This window comes from Homo sapiens, chromosome 5, assembly GCF_000001405.40.
Source record: "Homo sapiens chromosome 5, GRCh38.p14 Primary Assembly".
Lineage (NCBI taxonomy): Eukaryota > Metazoa > Chordata > Mammalia > Primates > Hominidae > Homo > Homo sapiens.
In genome coordinates, this window is record NC_000005.10 from 39191458 (window position 1) to 39207336 (window position 15879).

The 15879-nt window shown below is 39.0% G+C and overlaps 1 protein-coding gene across 16 annotated transcripts in view, besides 1 other annotated feature; it reads right to left on the reverse strand.

Moving 5' to 3' along the window:
* FYB1 (FYN binding protein 1) overlaps positions 1 to 15879 on the reverse strand; it is a 169277-nt gene that overhangs the window by 86206 nt on the left and 67192 nt on the right. For all 16 annotated transcript variants that reach the window (XM_006714464.4, XM_047417073.1, XM_047417072.1 and 13 more), the window contains one exon: positions 10369 to 11530. In XM_006714464.4, coding sequence (XP_006714527.1) covers positions 10369 to 11503 — 1135 coding nt within the window. In that variant the 5' untranslated portion in view covers positions 11504 to 11530. The remainder of the gene's footprint in view (positions 1 to 10368; positions 11531 to 15879) is intronic.
* Positions 3090 to 3384: an enhancer, noted in NCBI's record as "tiled region #12253; K562 Activating DNase matched - State 5:Enh". NCBI's record gives its function as "activates a minimal TATA promoter and a strong SV40 promoter by Sharpr-MPRA in K562 cells {active_cell/tissue: K562}" and the evidence as "EXISTENCE:reporter gene assay evidence [ECO:0000049][PMID:27701403]".

The window sequence follows — 15879 nt, forward strand, 5'->3', positions numbered from 1 at the left end:
AAACCTCGTATGGTTTTTGGTTTCGATTTTTTTCTATAACCAGATGTCTCATCTTCGGTTACTTTTTCCTGATAATATCTATTGCTATTGAGTGTTCTAGATGTTTTTTTCTACCTTTGATATGCCAGACAGAATGAAGTATAATCTTTCTCCCTTGGTGGCAATTTAAACAAAGAGACATATTTCTTATCTATTTACTAGTGGTTAATATAGCAGTTAAATGTCTCCAACTTTTTAACTCTTTTTCTGTCCCTTATTCCTCAGATGCTGGAAAAACAAATAATCTATTGTTCTAGATGATTCCCTGGACTTTAAAGCCACGCCATAAATATCATTATTGTGCCTTGTCTGAAAGGACAGAAAATTTCCAGTATTTTTGTAAAAATAGATAGATGGATTTTTGCTCATGAGGCATAATTTTGTTCTTCCAATAGCTGGAATTACTCTTTTGTTAAAGAAGTCAATTTCATTTTGTTTTCAAAACAAAAAGCATGCACAAAGACATTCTTCTGGCATAGAAATCCATCATATCAGAAATAGTTTTAATCAAGGCAAAGAAGAAGCCTTTAATGGCAAAAGCGTATTTATCATCTAATCATTTATAAAAGGGTTTTATTTGACTTGGCTTGGAAATTGTTTTAGCAGATTGTATGAAACAAGGCACCTCCTGCAGACTGAATCATAACACATACATTTGTCCAATATTCTTAGCTAGTTTTAAACATTTGATGTGTGTATGCACAATCGAAAGGAAGTCAGAAAGAGCCTTTATTTTTAATTATTATACTCATATGTATTTGTATTTCATTAAAATTTCTTTTCGCTCTCCTTTTTTGAAGTAAATTATAATTTCATTTTAATGCTTTTAATATTTTAGAGGTTATATAATTTTGATCAAATTAGGTAAATCATCTCACAATGCATCTCATACTTTATTTGAGGGTAATGTATTTCAAATTTTATTTATTTCAGCAACTGTAAAAACATTTATTTATATTACAAGTGGTCATATCTTCTTGTAGGCTACTAAAGTTGATACAATGCCAGTTGAATGGGCAATATTTTCTTATTTTTTGAGATGCTTAAACATATATCAGTTTTATCCTCTTGATTGCAGGAAGAGTTCTTATAACAAGGGCAAATCATGGCATATTGCCCTAAGCTATGCTATTTGGAAACTTCCTTTCACATAACTAAGAAAAGCGACAGTTCCTCTTAAAGCAGGGTGAGGATAACTATATTAAGGGAACTCTTCCCTGTAAACTAAATGATAAGTATGGACTATTGTTGAGCTAAAGTTAATATTAAAAGAATAGCTGGTGCCTGAGCAGAAAGAATCTTGAAGGTCAAATTGAGTGTGCAGCAGGGAACCAGGACCCTAAATGTGCCAAGGGAACTTTTCAATGGCAAAGTCTCTGAAGTTGAGGAATCTACCTTTCTCATAGGCCAGCTCCAGGGGCCTTCCCCTTGTCGTGGCTCACTCTCCCATCCAGTGTTCTGTTCACCTCCTCCTCTAAGTGGATTGGCTGATTAAAGGCTTACACAATGATGGCCCTCAAGGCATTTGCAGGTTAGGAGAGGGCAGACTCTATCACAGTCCAGGCATCCAGACCTGGAACTTCCCCATACCCCACTGGGATCATGTCCACAAGACTCCTCAGAGTAGGAGACTTGGGGAGGGGTTAGAGGACACCTGAGTGTCCTTGACCAGTGAGCATGGTCCAGAGAGCATGGAACAAGGCTTGGGGTGGGCACTCAATGCATGTTATTAATAGTTCTGCCATCTTGCTGTCTGCCTTGTGAGGGAGCAAATCGATGATCTTTTTGGAAATGTTGATCCTTAGACTATAATTTAAGTATTTAGTTGGTATTTAAAAATGAGGATGGGAAATTTCAGAGTGTCCCTCCTCCAATTCCCAAGTTAAAAATACTAAAAAAGAAAATAAGTCAAGGCAAACATTATCTAAAACTCACTAGCGGTCACCTCACAAGAAAGGGAAGATAACATCATGCATAAACTTCAAAAAGTCATGGCTAAGGGAAGAAATAGAAGGTTCTGGTGCCACCGGAGGAGAGCTAACCTTCCCACCTGTTCTCTACATCCAGAAGCAATACTGGGGGAAGACAGTGGTTCTAGACAAGCCTGTGAATTCTCTCTAATACACTCCAGGTTGGAGAAGCAAACTGTAAGGTGAGTGAGCAGCCTGGGAAGGTCAAGGAAAATCCTTCAGCATAAAAGTCCTAAATACCACAACAGGATCACACGAGAGGCAGAAGGGGGATGAGCTGCCAGGGCTGGCCCTGCCCTGGTACAGGGCACTGAATGAGATCTCAGAAAATGGAACGGAATCTGGGTCCCCAGTAAGGACTACCCTGGAGACGAGCACAGCTAACATTTATGCCACAGAAGAGTGGATTCAAAGTCACACTCAGAACTCAAATCGCAATTCTGAGGGGAAGGCAAATTTATCACACTGGATTAGAACTTGCAGATGCACTTGTCATCCATCAGCCAGATCAAAAGAACTAGTGTGACCCCTATTCATATAGCACAGTAAATTCCTGAGAGCCTGAGAGAATACTGATAAAATGATTGACACAGACATATCCTGGCTAAGATTCTTGACCTTAAGGACAAAGATTTCTTTGGAAATCCAGGCAGAAAAGCAAATCATTTTCAAAGAGGGAAATTTAGGTTGTCTGCATACTTCTCCACAGTAAATTTAAATGCCAGAATCTTGAAATAAAGACCATGTAGACTGCTTATAAAAATGAAACATTAGCTGGGTGCAGTGGCTCATGTCTGTAATCTCAGCACTTTGGGAAGCTGAGGCAGGAGGATTGTTTGAGGCCAGGAGTTTTAGACCATCTTGGACAACAAAGCAAGACTCTGTCTCTACAAAAAATTTAAAAAATACTAAAGCTGGACGTGGTAATATGTGCCTGTAGTCCCAGCTATTCGGGAGGCTGAAGTGGAGGGATTTGTGCCCAGGAGTTCAAGGCTGCAGTGAGCTGTGATTGTGCCACTGCAGTCCAGCCTGAGTGACAAAGCAAGACCCTGTCTCAAAAAATAAAAAAGAAAGACAGAAAAAGGAAGGAAGGAAGGAAAGAAGGAAGGAAGGAAGGGAGGATATCTTGCATTAAAAAAGACCAACGGATGCTGCTGGGATAGGAAACAAGAGGGAACAGTTTGTTTGCTGGCTTATCTTAGAAGAGCAGAAGAAAGAAGTTTCAAAGAGGGAAGATTAATAGGGGTAGTTCGTAAAATTTGACCAGGGACAGTGTGGTTAAGGGAAGAGAGTCTTTCTGAGGCATTTCGATTATGGGGTTAAACCCAGGTAAGCTGCCTGATTAATAGTAAGTGTGTTCCTCAGACACGTCAACATGCACCAGAAGGAAGAAGCCCTGGAGGTCTTCTGGACAACTGCTTTTTCAGGGATTAAGGAGGGTGGGTGGAATAAATTGGGCTCGGGCTGGAGTAAAAAGAAGAGTGACACCAGCCACAAAGTGTGCACCAGGTCCTGGGAGAACGAGCGTGCAGGGTGTGCTGAGGGCCTGGCTGTTACCCGAAGCTGAACCACGCCGTTGAGCAACTCCAAATTCCAGTCTGTGTATGAGAGAGCTTTGCCTCCAGTGATTCAGTGTCCTGTAATAGTCCAGTCTGTGAGCCGTTTCAGTCAAAGCATCCCGGGATCTCTTCTTTTTGTATCATGTTCTTACGTTCCCAGTGCACAGTGACATATTAATACTTGGAGAAATCTTGCTTTAAAGAATAGCACTTACCGCTACGTTTCTAAAATGTGAACATAGAATCCTTTTTCCCTGTGGTGGCTAGGAGCAACAATTTGGAAAATACTGCCACATGCTGATATAAAACAGTTTTCAATATGTAAATATCTAATAAGGTCATGTTAAGAGAGTACACATAAAAGGAGAATGGGGGGAAAAAGAAAGGTGATAGCTTTGGGGCCTGTGAAGGAAAATCTTACCCACTCCTGGAAACAAGTTACTTGCTGGTGAAAATAGCCCAGGCACCTTTTGGTTTCAAGTTGTTGTAGGCTGGATTAGTTAAATGATACATACACAGATGAGGAGGGGGCCATCAGTCTTTTGTTAATGCCCTCTGGGGCCCTCGCCTTACACCTGTTGCTGTCAAGGTGCTTAACTGATCATTCCTATAGCTAACATATGGAAAAAATCAGTCTTGGTCTCTCAGCAGTATTAAGAACAAGACTAGAAAAAAGGGTCAAACTGAATATTTCCCAGCAGGTTTTTACTAAATCATACATGCAAACCAATAGTCAGGCCAGGGATTCTTATGAACCCAAACTTTGGTGAGGCATTGTGTTGACACATGGGAAGAAGCCCTTTCAGAACTGGCTCAGGACCCAAAAGGAAGCAAAGGAAAGGTTAGTTCAGAGAATATTTTGATATTTTGGGTTTTTTTAAAAAAAACGTTTAGTCTTTTGTAACCTTAAATTGTTCTTAGGAAAAAAAAATTTAGCTTCATGATCAGAAAGCAACATGTTAGAGTCAAGCTTACAGTTTACAAGGAAGGGAGCTCAATAGATCTGCAAGATAGACCCTCTCTTATAACATTTATTTTGTGTCCAAGCTCCATTCAGTTGAGTACAAGTCTACTGGCAGGGGTTATCTATTGTGTTAAAACAATTGCTAAGCTATAGAGTATTAAAATCTAATACTGAACAAAATCTGGGAGTAAATAAATTCTAGTTAAATATAATTCTTTCTTTTTTTTTTTTTTTTTTTGAGATAGGGTTCGCTTTGTCACCCAGGCTGGAGTGCAGTGGTGCAATCTCGGCTCACTGCAACCTCCACCTCCTGGGTTCAAATGATTCTCCTGCCCCAGCCTCCTGAGTAGCTGGGAGGTGCGCACCACTATGCCTGGCTAATTTTTGTATTTTTGGGGTTTCGCCATGTTGGCCAGGCTGGTCTTGAACTCCTGATCTCAGGTGTTCAGCCCGCCTCGGCCTCCCAAAGTGCTGGGATTACAGGCATGAGCCACCGCACCCGGTCTGGTTAAATAGAATTCTGTGAAAGAATAAACTTGAGAAGCTAACAAAAATTTATATTACTTTTGTACTCCAAATGAGAGAATGGCAAGCAGACTGGCTTCTGTCTTCATGGAGCTTATAGTGGTATTTACAAAACAGACAACAAACAAAAGGCATGTTTCAACCAAAGGCCACAGAAAGGGAGAGGAATGAGGATTTTGGGAGTTTCATTTATGCTTGATTCATTGTCTTGTGATATTCTGTGTTTGAAGAGAGGCAGCCCAGCACGAGGAAGTGGAATGCGGGTGGGAACACAGTCTGCGGAATCAGAAAGACATGAGATTGACCCCAGCCTTGTTTAGTCATGTTATGCCTTTGGGCAAGTTACCTAACCTCTCTGAGCTTTAGTTTACTCATAGAATTCCTATTCATGGCTTGAGAGGAATAAACGGCATAATGTGTATGTGGTATATAGCAAGTCCTCAATAAATGATGAATATTTTTAACAGTTAATACATTGGGCAAAGATGATGAGATGGAGGGTATATCTGGGGAAGAGGTTTAAAGAATTGGATGAGAACCTGGAAAGGAAGAAATGAGGTAGAAGGCTATGAAAACAGTATTAGTTTAAAAGGCATATAGAGTTATTAGATGAATGTTTGTTAATTTGAACACTAGTATAATTACTTCTAACAAGAAAAAATAGTCTTTTTGGAGTCTCTGCATTCACTGAGCAAGGCATTTCATTTTGCTCCCGTCAATAACTATTAAATCTTAGTGAATAAATATTTAGTAATAGAATCTCATTTTTTCTAAAGCATAGAATCTCTCTTCTTTCCCATTTTATTACAAGCAAATAAATAATTTTCTAATTATACCATGCAGCAAATAATTTATCTGGAAGCCCTGTTATATGAAAATTCATGCCTAGTCAGGTGTGTTTAGGGCATTTTTTGTTGGAGTTCATGTAAAAACTCCAATCTCAAAAAATTTTAGGGTCTGTAGCAGCACACTAAGAAGCATTTTCCCTGGAAGTTGCCAATCTAAGCAGCTGTGGCCAATCATAATCCAGAGCAAATCCATTGGCCACATTTATTTATTTCTTCCAGGTTGACAGGTAATGGGGAAAGCAAATGCACTCTGGAAACAATGACCTTCGAAAACTGCCTTTGATAATACCAGTGTCTTGGGATAACAGCCATCTATACTGGCTTTGCAGCCTCTCCACCTCTGCTTGGCTGAGTCAGATGCCTTCGCTTGGCTTCAGCCAGTAGGAGATGGCAAAATCTGGGGGCACTTGTGACCTAGTGCCACTTGGGTGCCGCCTACTGCTCTCTACCAGCCTTTGCTGTAGGGAAGGAGGCATCTGAGCGCAGAAATTTCATGGACTTCTGGTGGGAAACCTCTCTTCCAACAATCATTGTTTGACTCTGGCATCATAAATCACAAATACATTTCTATATTACAAACAGAAGTAAGTAAAATGCAGTTTCATGATTCCTAGAATAATATAGTATAATATAAAATGATTTATACTATAAGATGATCAGAATATCATGGGGCTGGTGATAAAATTTTAATGCTAATAAAAGTAATAAAATTATAGACAATGCTCACTTATTTTGATACTATTATATGTCAAATTCTGTATTAAGCACTTACAACGAATCTCATGTAGTGATTATAATGTGCTGGCGAAGTAGGTGGTATTATACTCGTTTTTTCAAATGAAGAAAGACATACACGGAAAGAGGTAAAGCGAAGGTCACATAGCTAGTACATTAGTCATGCTTAAACCCCAGGTCCACTGACTTTGAAGTCTACATTATATGGCAAACAACTCTCATGCTAGGCTCTGTACCATTAATAACATTACTAATAGATAACCTGGCAACTCTGCACATTGGTTTAAAATGGGTTCATTAAACTGCTGTATCTAATTCATGGGACATTATAAGTAATAAAAGACATAAACATTTTGAAAGTCCTTTGAAAAAAGTTAAAATCCCATGTACATATTAGTAATAATATGTATACATACACAGATGGTGCCCTATTTATGACAGTTCAAATTAATGATTACTTGACTTTATGATGGTACAAAAGCAATATGCATTCAGTAGAAACCATGGTACAGTATTCAATAAATTACATGAGATAGTCAACACTTTATTATAAAATAGGCTTTGTGTGAGATGATTTTGCCCAATTGTAGGCTAATGTAAGTGTTCAGAGCATGTTTAAGGTGGGCTAGGCTAAGCTATGACATTTGGTAGTTAGGTATATTAAACGTGTTTTCAGTTTATAATATTTCCAACTTAAGAATGTTTATAAGGATGTAACCCGATCACAAGTCAAGGAATATCTGCATATATATTCTATATAAATAAATAATACACTTATGCTTTAAACATAAACATGCAAACATACATACAGGGGCACGATGGTACATGGAGAAAGTATTAAACTTGCAATCTGAAGACTTGGATTTTAGCCTCAGATATATGATTTGGTTATGTCACATCTCAACACTCATTTGTGAAATGGGGGCGATAATTACACTTAATAAAGAATTTTCCCATCTAAAGACTGTACGTACAATATACCACATGTTTATGTATACGTATATGTATATTATTATTTAATTATTTAATAATTATTTATTTTCTACTTACATACTCCAGAATTATAAAAAATAGAATTTCAGAATTTTAAAAAATTTTGCTACAACAGAAATTTAATTCTTTTCTTTATATTGCTTATCCAGTTATATAAAATGAACATATACTTTCTAATTCTGATATATTTTAACCTTCCTAAATGAAATGGTAAATTACTTAGTATTTCTAGCATTGTTTAAGAAAAATAGCAGTGGCAGGATCAAGAGTCAGCAGACCTGACTTAAAAAACTTTGTGTTCAGAAAATAAATGCTTACTTTATGACACATACACGAGTTTATTTTCTGCAGTATTGTTGCAAAAGAACGCTTTTGGAAACAACACAAATTGTTAAATTGATTAAGCTTGTCACCCATTTACTGAAGTATTATGCAACTCTAGAGAATAATCAGTTACTCTTTATTAAAATGTGGAAAGATATACAGGATTTATTTATTTTAAAAATACAAGGATCAGAGCATTGCACATAATATTCTACTTCATGAGTAAAAAGCCGGGGTGGGGGGTAGTATTTATGTTCATATTTGCTTCTGTGAACATAAAGAAACTTCAGATGGACATATAAGAAATTAAGAAGAGTGGTTTCTATGGGGTAGGGGCTGGAAAGACCCAGAAAGTGGCAGACAAGGGTTAAAGGTAGCTTCACTGTACACCATTTTACACTTACTGCTTTTTCAGTCAGAATGTAATTTCTACTTAAAAGATAAAAGAATTCAAATGCTTTTTAAAAAGGTGAATGCTTTAAAGGGGTATTATTCAGAGTTTAAAGTTATGAATCAGATTGCTTAATCCAGATATCAAATGAGGTCAATCTAGATTAAGAGGGATTGAGTTTTGATTTGTGGAAGAGGTGAATGAATAGAGAACAGGATACATTTTGGAGCATAATACATCTCAAGGCATCAGATGTTGAGGGGGTTACACTGATGACAGGATTTAAAATGTGAACTGTGGCATGGGCTACTGACAGTGAGGAAGCATTCAGGAGCAGGGGAGGGTTGCAAAGGAGAGGAGAAGGAGAACAAGGATAAACTCCGTCTGCTCTGCAGTTCTGCCTGGGTCCCTTGTAGCTTTACTTCACTAAAAATCAGACCTTGTCAGGCCTTCAGAGTCAGAAAGAGGACTTGGTTAGCATTTGTGGCAACTCACTGAAAAGCGTGACACCGGGCAACATGTGTTACCACCATGCTCTGCCACCACCCACACTGGAGCGGGAGTGAAACAAAGATGGAAGAAAGTTCCCAGGGATTTCTGCCTAACATCAGAACTCCTTCCCTGGTGTGAAGTCACAGCCATAAAATGGAGGTCATAATACTAAATTTTTTATCCGAGGTGAAGAAATAAGAGAAATAAGGGACCTTTTAGAAAGTCTCACAAAAATAATAGTTCTGAATTATGACCTGGTAATGAAACAAGATGACAGATGAGGAGGAGATGCAATGTGAAACAAGGATGAACCTTTCTGGAAGACAGATGGTCATGGGATCATTCCAAACTTGCTTTCTGTGTGTTTGAATTAGCAGAGGACTTGATCACTAAGCTGTTTACGAACAAGGAGAATACTGAACTCAGGAAGATAACATATCGCAAGATGTTTCTACAGTGCAAAAACGAAAAACAACCTTTAGGCTTAGAATTGCTTTAACTAGACCATACTTCGGTAAGGAGAAAGATGCGACTACAAGTAGTGTGGTCACCTGTAGGCATCTTGTTTCCCCCTCACAATAAACAACAGTTGCACATCATTTACCTAAAATATTAATCATCTCAGGCATGTGTGAGCTTCTTACATGCAGTCACTCAGTACCACATCCAAGAGAATTGCAGTGATATCTCTGGTAGAAATTTAAACTATTTACCCGAAAGGAGAGTAAAGTACTCCTTTGTCTGGCTCATTTTCCTAACTATATATTACTTTATGAATCATAAAAGTTCAGAAAACTTTATACTGAGAAATGGAAAATAGCTAAAATGTGAAACACAAAGTACCATTTCATGAGTACTGCTCCTTTCTCATTTGAATACTGGGCTTAGGAAACATGATGAATTGTGTGGATATTTGCAGTCACTTAAAGGAGGGCTTGTCATCTCTGTACTATTGACATTATGGCCTGAATAATTCTTTGTTGTGGGACTGTCCTGGCCATTGTAGGATGTTCAATAGCATCCCTAGCTTCTACTCACTAGAGGCCAGTAGCACCCTCCAGTTGTGGCAATCAAAAATGCCTCCATACATTGCCAAATGTCCCCTGGGGGTCAAAATTGTTCCCTTTGGGAACTGCTGACCTACAGGATAGCTCATTTTCTGTCTAACTCCTCTGTGTTGATAGGGGTAACATACCTCAGTCTCATTCAACAGAAATGAAACCCAACAAAGGAAGTAAATACAATGGTTATCATTAAGCAAAACCACGTATCAATGAAGTGGATGCATTCCCTCTCCCTTCCCCCAACAAAACCCCAGCTGACCAAGGCATTTTCTCACAGAATGAAGACTTCCTACTTTCCCAGACCTCCCACATGAAAGAAAAAAACAAGACAAAGAAAATTCATTATACACATATGAGTACCAGATATAGAGAATCATTCCTTGTTACAAAACTTTCCCCAGAAGCTAAAACATTCTCTGCCTTGGAGTAAACCATACTGAATAGCAAACGAGAAAAGAACTCACTGTTTCCAGAAGAGGTTTTGTGGAATTTCGTCAGGTCAACATTTGGTGGTCTGTTGGGTTTTGGTGGAGGTGGACCCAAGGTAAACAAGGGAGGCAATGGCTTCTGTTTCGGGGTGGCTGAATTCTTGTCTCCCTTTTCCTTTTCCTGACTTTGGCCCCATGGCCCCCCCACTGTCAGCTTAGAAGGGGCCTTAGGGAACCTGGCAGGAGGAGTCCCTGAGGCCAACTCTTCCTGATTTATTTTGCTCTGGAAGGTGTTCTTAGCAGCATCTATCTTCCTATCTTCCTTTTTTTCTTCACCATTTTTGGAGAGACCTGGGCCTCCCCTGCTCGCAGCAGGTTTCAAAACCACTCCAGGAAAGGGCAAACTTGAAATCTCCCCTGCATGGTCTTTATTTTCTGAGTCTTCCCTTGCTGGTTTTAAAGGGCCGCTTTTGGACCTGACTCCCAGGGGAGCTGGGGACCCTTTTGATGAAGACACATTCTTCATGGGGCTTTCGTCTTCATGGGAGTTCTCGGTACTTAGGGGCGGCTTCTGGCCAAAGGCGGGTTTGGGGAAGAGGGGCTTGGGTTCAAGATCTTGTGATGCTGACATAAATTTCCCTTTAACCCCAGTCAATTTGGGAAACGCTTGCTTCTGTTCATTTTCTGAGGTTGGAGGAGTAGGCCCAGATTTCGGGCCTAGTGGCTTTAAGTCATGGTCTTGGTTTACACTGTGAAGAGATGGCTTGTTTCCAGGAGGCCAGGGAAATGTAGGTTTGGAATCTTCTTTGGGCAAGTTGATGGGCTTGGGGCCTACAGGTTTCAGAAATCCCACTTTCGCCTCGGGGTCTCTGGTGGTCAAGCTGGCTGGTGTTCCGAATCTTTGGCCTGCTCCAGTGGGCTTTAGAAACGGGGGCTTGGGTTCCTTGTCAGGCTTTTCCTCAGAAGAAGGTTTGACTGCCACAGGTGGCTTTGGGGACCCAAACTTAGGTACATTGCTGGGTCCTGCAGGAGGGCTGGCATTTCCTTGGTTGTTGAATAAGTTCTTTCTTGCTTGTATTCCTGAAGATGAGTTTGGCCCTGTGACTCTGAAGGGTCGGCTATTGACTGAGACATCCTCTGTCGGGTTGCCCCCCGTGTTATATTTCGCCATGAGGGACTTTACATCTGCCTTTCCATCCTACAAACATAGGGAACAAAAAATAGCTGAGAGACAAAAGTCTTACTTGCACAGTTTAAAATACTATACCTTACAGAGCTTCCTGGTTTGAGGCCTGCAGCGTTGCTGATTGGTTAGCAAGATATTGTAACATTTATCTTCCTCTCTGGCAAAATAAGTTGCGAGAGTTTCTTGAAAGAGGAAGGCTATGGTTGTGCATATACTTTTTCTTTTGCTTATCTCGGACTGACTTGCTTATTTTTACTTAAGGAACAAATCCTTTCTTTATTCTCACTGTTTCTCTAGCTATCTTGTTGGATTTACTCTAACTTGGTATTATTTATTTTTAAAGTTTCACTTGAAAAAATATGGAAGTGACTAAAAAAAGATTTCTTCCATATTTTATAATTGAAACTCTTAAGTAGAAACTACCTTTAAAAAATGAAAGTAAGTTCTTCTGTAAATTGAGGCTGTGTGCTTCATACAGCATGGCCATGTTTAACATACATCTCTGTGGTTTGCAAGAGTATTTTTTTTTGCTTCTATCCACATTGAAGTTCTGTTTGTTAACAGGGAGATGTGGCAGAAAAACCTTGCTCATTTTTATAAGTAAGTAATAAAATGACTTCTTCTCCTTATTTGTAATTATTTAGCACTAAAGATTCACCTGTATCCATACTAGCAGGCGATTGTACTCACTTTCAGAATTGTTCTGTTTAGAGGTTATGGTCTGGAGGCACAAGGGGGAAGATAAGGAAGAGGTAATAGGGACAGGCTGTCAGTCTTATTTCCAGACCTTTCTTTCCACAGTCATCCCTTTTTCTCAGAGGTGCTTTTACTGAGTCTCCCCTGCTTGTCTAGAATTTAGGTATTACTTAGCAAAGATAATAGGCATTCATTTTTCTCTGTGAATGTAATCCCATTTTACCTGGGAAAGTTAATGGTGTGTTTGCTCTTTGTCTCAAAAGCAAGGAGTTTAAATTTTTAGTTCTTTTAGAAATATTTCAAAATTGGAGGCTTCAAAAAAATCACTGAAGTTAACCAATGTGGCCATGACAATTTCCCTTTTCATGCTTTAAAGTTCACCCATAACATGCTTTCCTACCTCTCATCCCCCACCTTTCATTGCCCCATACCCAGGCACATTTCATCTTTCAAGGTGCAAAACCAGGTCCCTCCAGCTGGAAAGGTTGCTCCCACCTCCTGACTCATGCACACTTCAGGTGCTTCTATAAGCCCCTATGCTATTTCCTCTTAGAGTGATGAGAACTACCATTTAGTGGGGGGTAAATACATGTGCTTTGTTCTATATCATCCCGTCTCATTCTTACAGTAGTTCTAAAAGAATGACATTATTTAACCCCATTTCACAAGAAAGGAAAATGAGGCTGGAACTGCAGGAGGATGGCATGGCCAGACATGAGAACTGGGTTTAAATCCTAGCCAGAATTGTCATGTGCTTTAAACATGGAATTTGTAAAATGCCTGTCTGGTGTACAATATGGGTTCAATATATGGAAATTATTATTAGAACTGTTATGTAGCAACTCCAGGCCTTGAACATGCTACCTAACAGTTGTAGGAACTGTGAGCACAGGCAGGCAAACTCAGGTGTATCTGGGGCTCTGAAGTCCAGAAAATGTCTCATTTCTTTTTGTATCCCTGCATCACCTAGACCAGGGCCTGGCTCCCTCAGGATTCTAATATATGCTTGGAGAATGAGGGCAGGCACTGAGATTAATACTGTGCATAGTGATTTTACAAGAAATGGTGCCCTCAGCAAGAGTTTCTGTCCATACCAAACTGTAGCAGGGTAGGAGGCTAGGGATTTAGGCAGGAACAGAAAAGCTAACACAGAGCAGCAAATTCCAACTTGAATTTTGTAACTTTAATTTACCTCCCTTATCTGAGTTGTTGGAAACTGCTTGTTTTCTACCTTTCCTCCCTTTGCCACTTTTCTACCACCCCTGACTTCCTCAAATCCTCAAGCAATTCCTGAAGGCAAGAGGCAGGAAGACAGCAGAACAAGGGAGAATTTGGGTGCTTGGGGGAGGGAATAGGAGAGAATGGGTTCTTCCCTGAACCTTCAGAGAGATCAGAGTTGCAGAGGACCCCAAACGTCACTACAAGGGGCATAATTATGGCAGTACCAAGAACAAAAATTTGCCCCCTAACTGAAGGAAGTCTGTCTCTGTGGAAGATGCCTTTTATTCTAGACTTAATTCCATATCATATAATGTATATCCCAGATTTATAACAGGAGGCTACATAGCTGAGTGACTAAGCACAGACTTAGGAACCAGGTGGCCTGGGTTTGAATCTTACTCGCTATGTAACCTTGGACAAAAGGCATCAAAATTCTTTAGGCTTAGTTTTCTCACCTCCCTAATGGGAATAATAATGTGTAGCCATAGGACTGTTAGGAAAATTAAACAACTTGCTGTGTGTAAAACACTTTAAAGAGTACCTGACACATTGGAGGATTTCTGATTTTTATAAATCAAGTGAAATGTTAGTCATTCTGTAGTCCCTTCTCTCGCTGCATCGGTGAGGAAATGGAAAGCAAGAGTTTTAAGTGGTATCCTACTTAGGTGGCAACTTTATGTCTTGGATTTCATGGAGGAAAACCCATGAAATACCCTAGCCCATGATCAAACTCAATGTCCTGGCTTTGGTTTAGAAAATATGGAAGTGGTAGATTTGGATTGGAACGTAAGTCTCTCAGCTGCCAACCCAGACCCAGGAAGCAGTGCAATGTCAAAGTTAATAGCACAGGCTCTGGGGTTATGACTTGAGTTCAAACCTTGACTTTGCCATTTTACTAACCACGTGATCTAGCATGGTAGTTATCCTCTCTGAGGCTCAGTTTTCTACATCTTTAAAATGAGAATAATAACAGTACCTATAGCTCACAGGGTTTTTGTTTTAAAATAAGGATTAAATGGGCAAAGGCATGTAAAATTCTTAGATAAGAATTGCACGTAATATATATGTAATAATTATCTGCCATCTCTGTTTTTCTAATTTGCTAGTCACAAAACATTATTTCTCTATGTGACCAAATTCCGAAGTTACAATCATTAATGTTATGTCCGAATTTTAAATCAAAGTAGCTAGAACTAATGTACTCCTGAATAACATAATAGAGTTATGATATTTAAGTTTGGTTTACCTACACTGTGAGACTTTTCACTGGATGTTGAAAGACAGGGAAAGAAAGAGCAACATGTTCCTATGCAGGACATCTTAGAGCCCCTTAGCCACTAATATGTCTGGCAAATCAGTAGCCTGAACTCTGCAACTATGTAATCACTAATATTGGCTTCTTAGCTTTAGAGATTGTTTAATCATGATGACTGTTAATAAGTTTAGTAGATAAAATGTTCAACACCCAGACTCACCCTTAATCGTAACAATAATAGGTAGTTTTTTTCTTTAAGCGTAATGATAGAAAAAGCAAAAATGATTTTTAAAATGGACATTCTCTCATTCTGATTTCATTGTAGATTGAATATCTATTCAATTATCTAGTACTTTTATTTTTACTTAAAAAAGGGTAGGGGTAATATATTCTTGAGTGATAGAGTGGAAAGTAAGCCTTCTATAACTCCTTAACTTAGTTCCCCAGTTCTAGGCTACGCTGATGTCCTCATTTACCAGTACAGTATGAGTTTATACCTGTTGTTCTGGAATAATGATTAGCAATGTTCCGTTTTAATCTCAAACTGATCTTCCTCAAATAATAAACTACATGGTGACCTTCCCTAGTTCTCTCTAGAGGCAATCACTGTCACCAGTTTCCTATGTATGTTGCTAACCGGTGCATATGCAAACATAAACACACACATATTCACAAACAAACACCCTTCCTTCTCCCACTTTTCACACAGATGGAAACCTCTACTCTGCACCTTGCCTTTTTCTAGGGCTGATATTTGGTAGATATACACCAGTACAGGTGGATATATGATCAGCAACCCTTGGGATTGTTTGGTACCTATGTCAATTCCAGTTGTTAGATATTTTCAATATTAACCCTACTTTTTTCCCTTGCTAGTTGGATCATATTGGTGCGTGTTATTTGCAGAACCTTTTTAACTTACTGATATCAAGATTGGGCTTCTACTTATTCATCAGAGGATGTATTTCACAATCTGGAAGACATCAGATTGTGAAATTCAATTTGCAATTTGCAATTTGAATTTGCAAATTCAAATTCATTTGCAATTTCTTTTCCAAAGCCATTTGAAGCAATTTGTTATTATTTCTACCTGCTATGTATCCATATAATGCTTAGTCCAGATTACTCACAAACATTGCTCACAAACACAGATTTAATAGTAGAAAATCTCTTCATAGAAATTAATTTC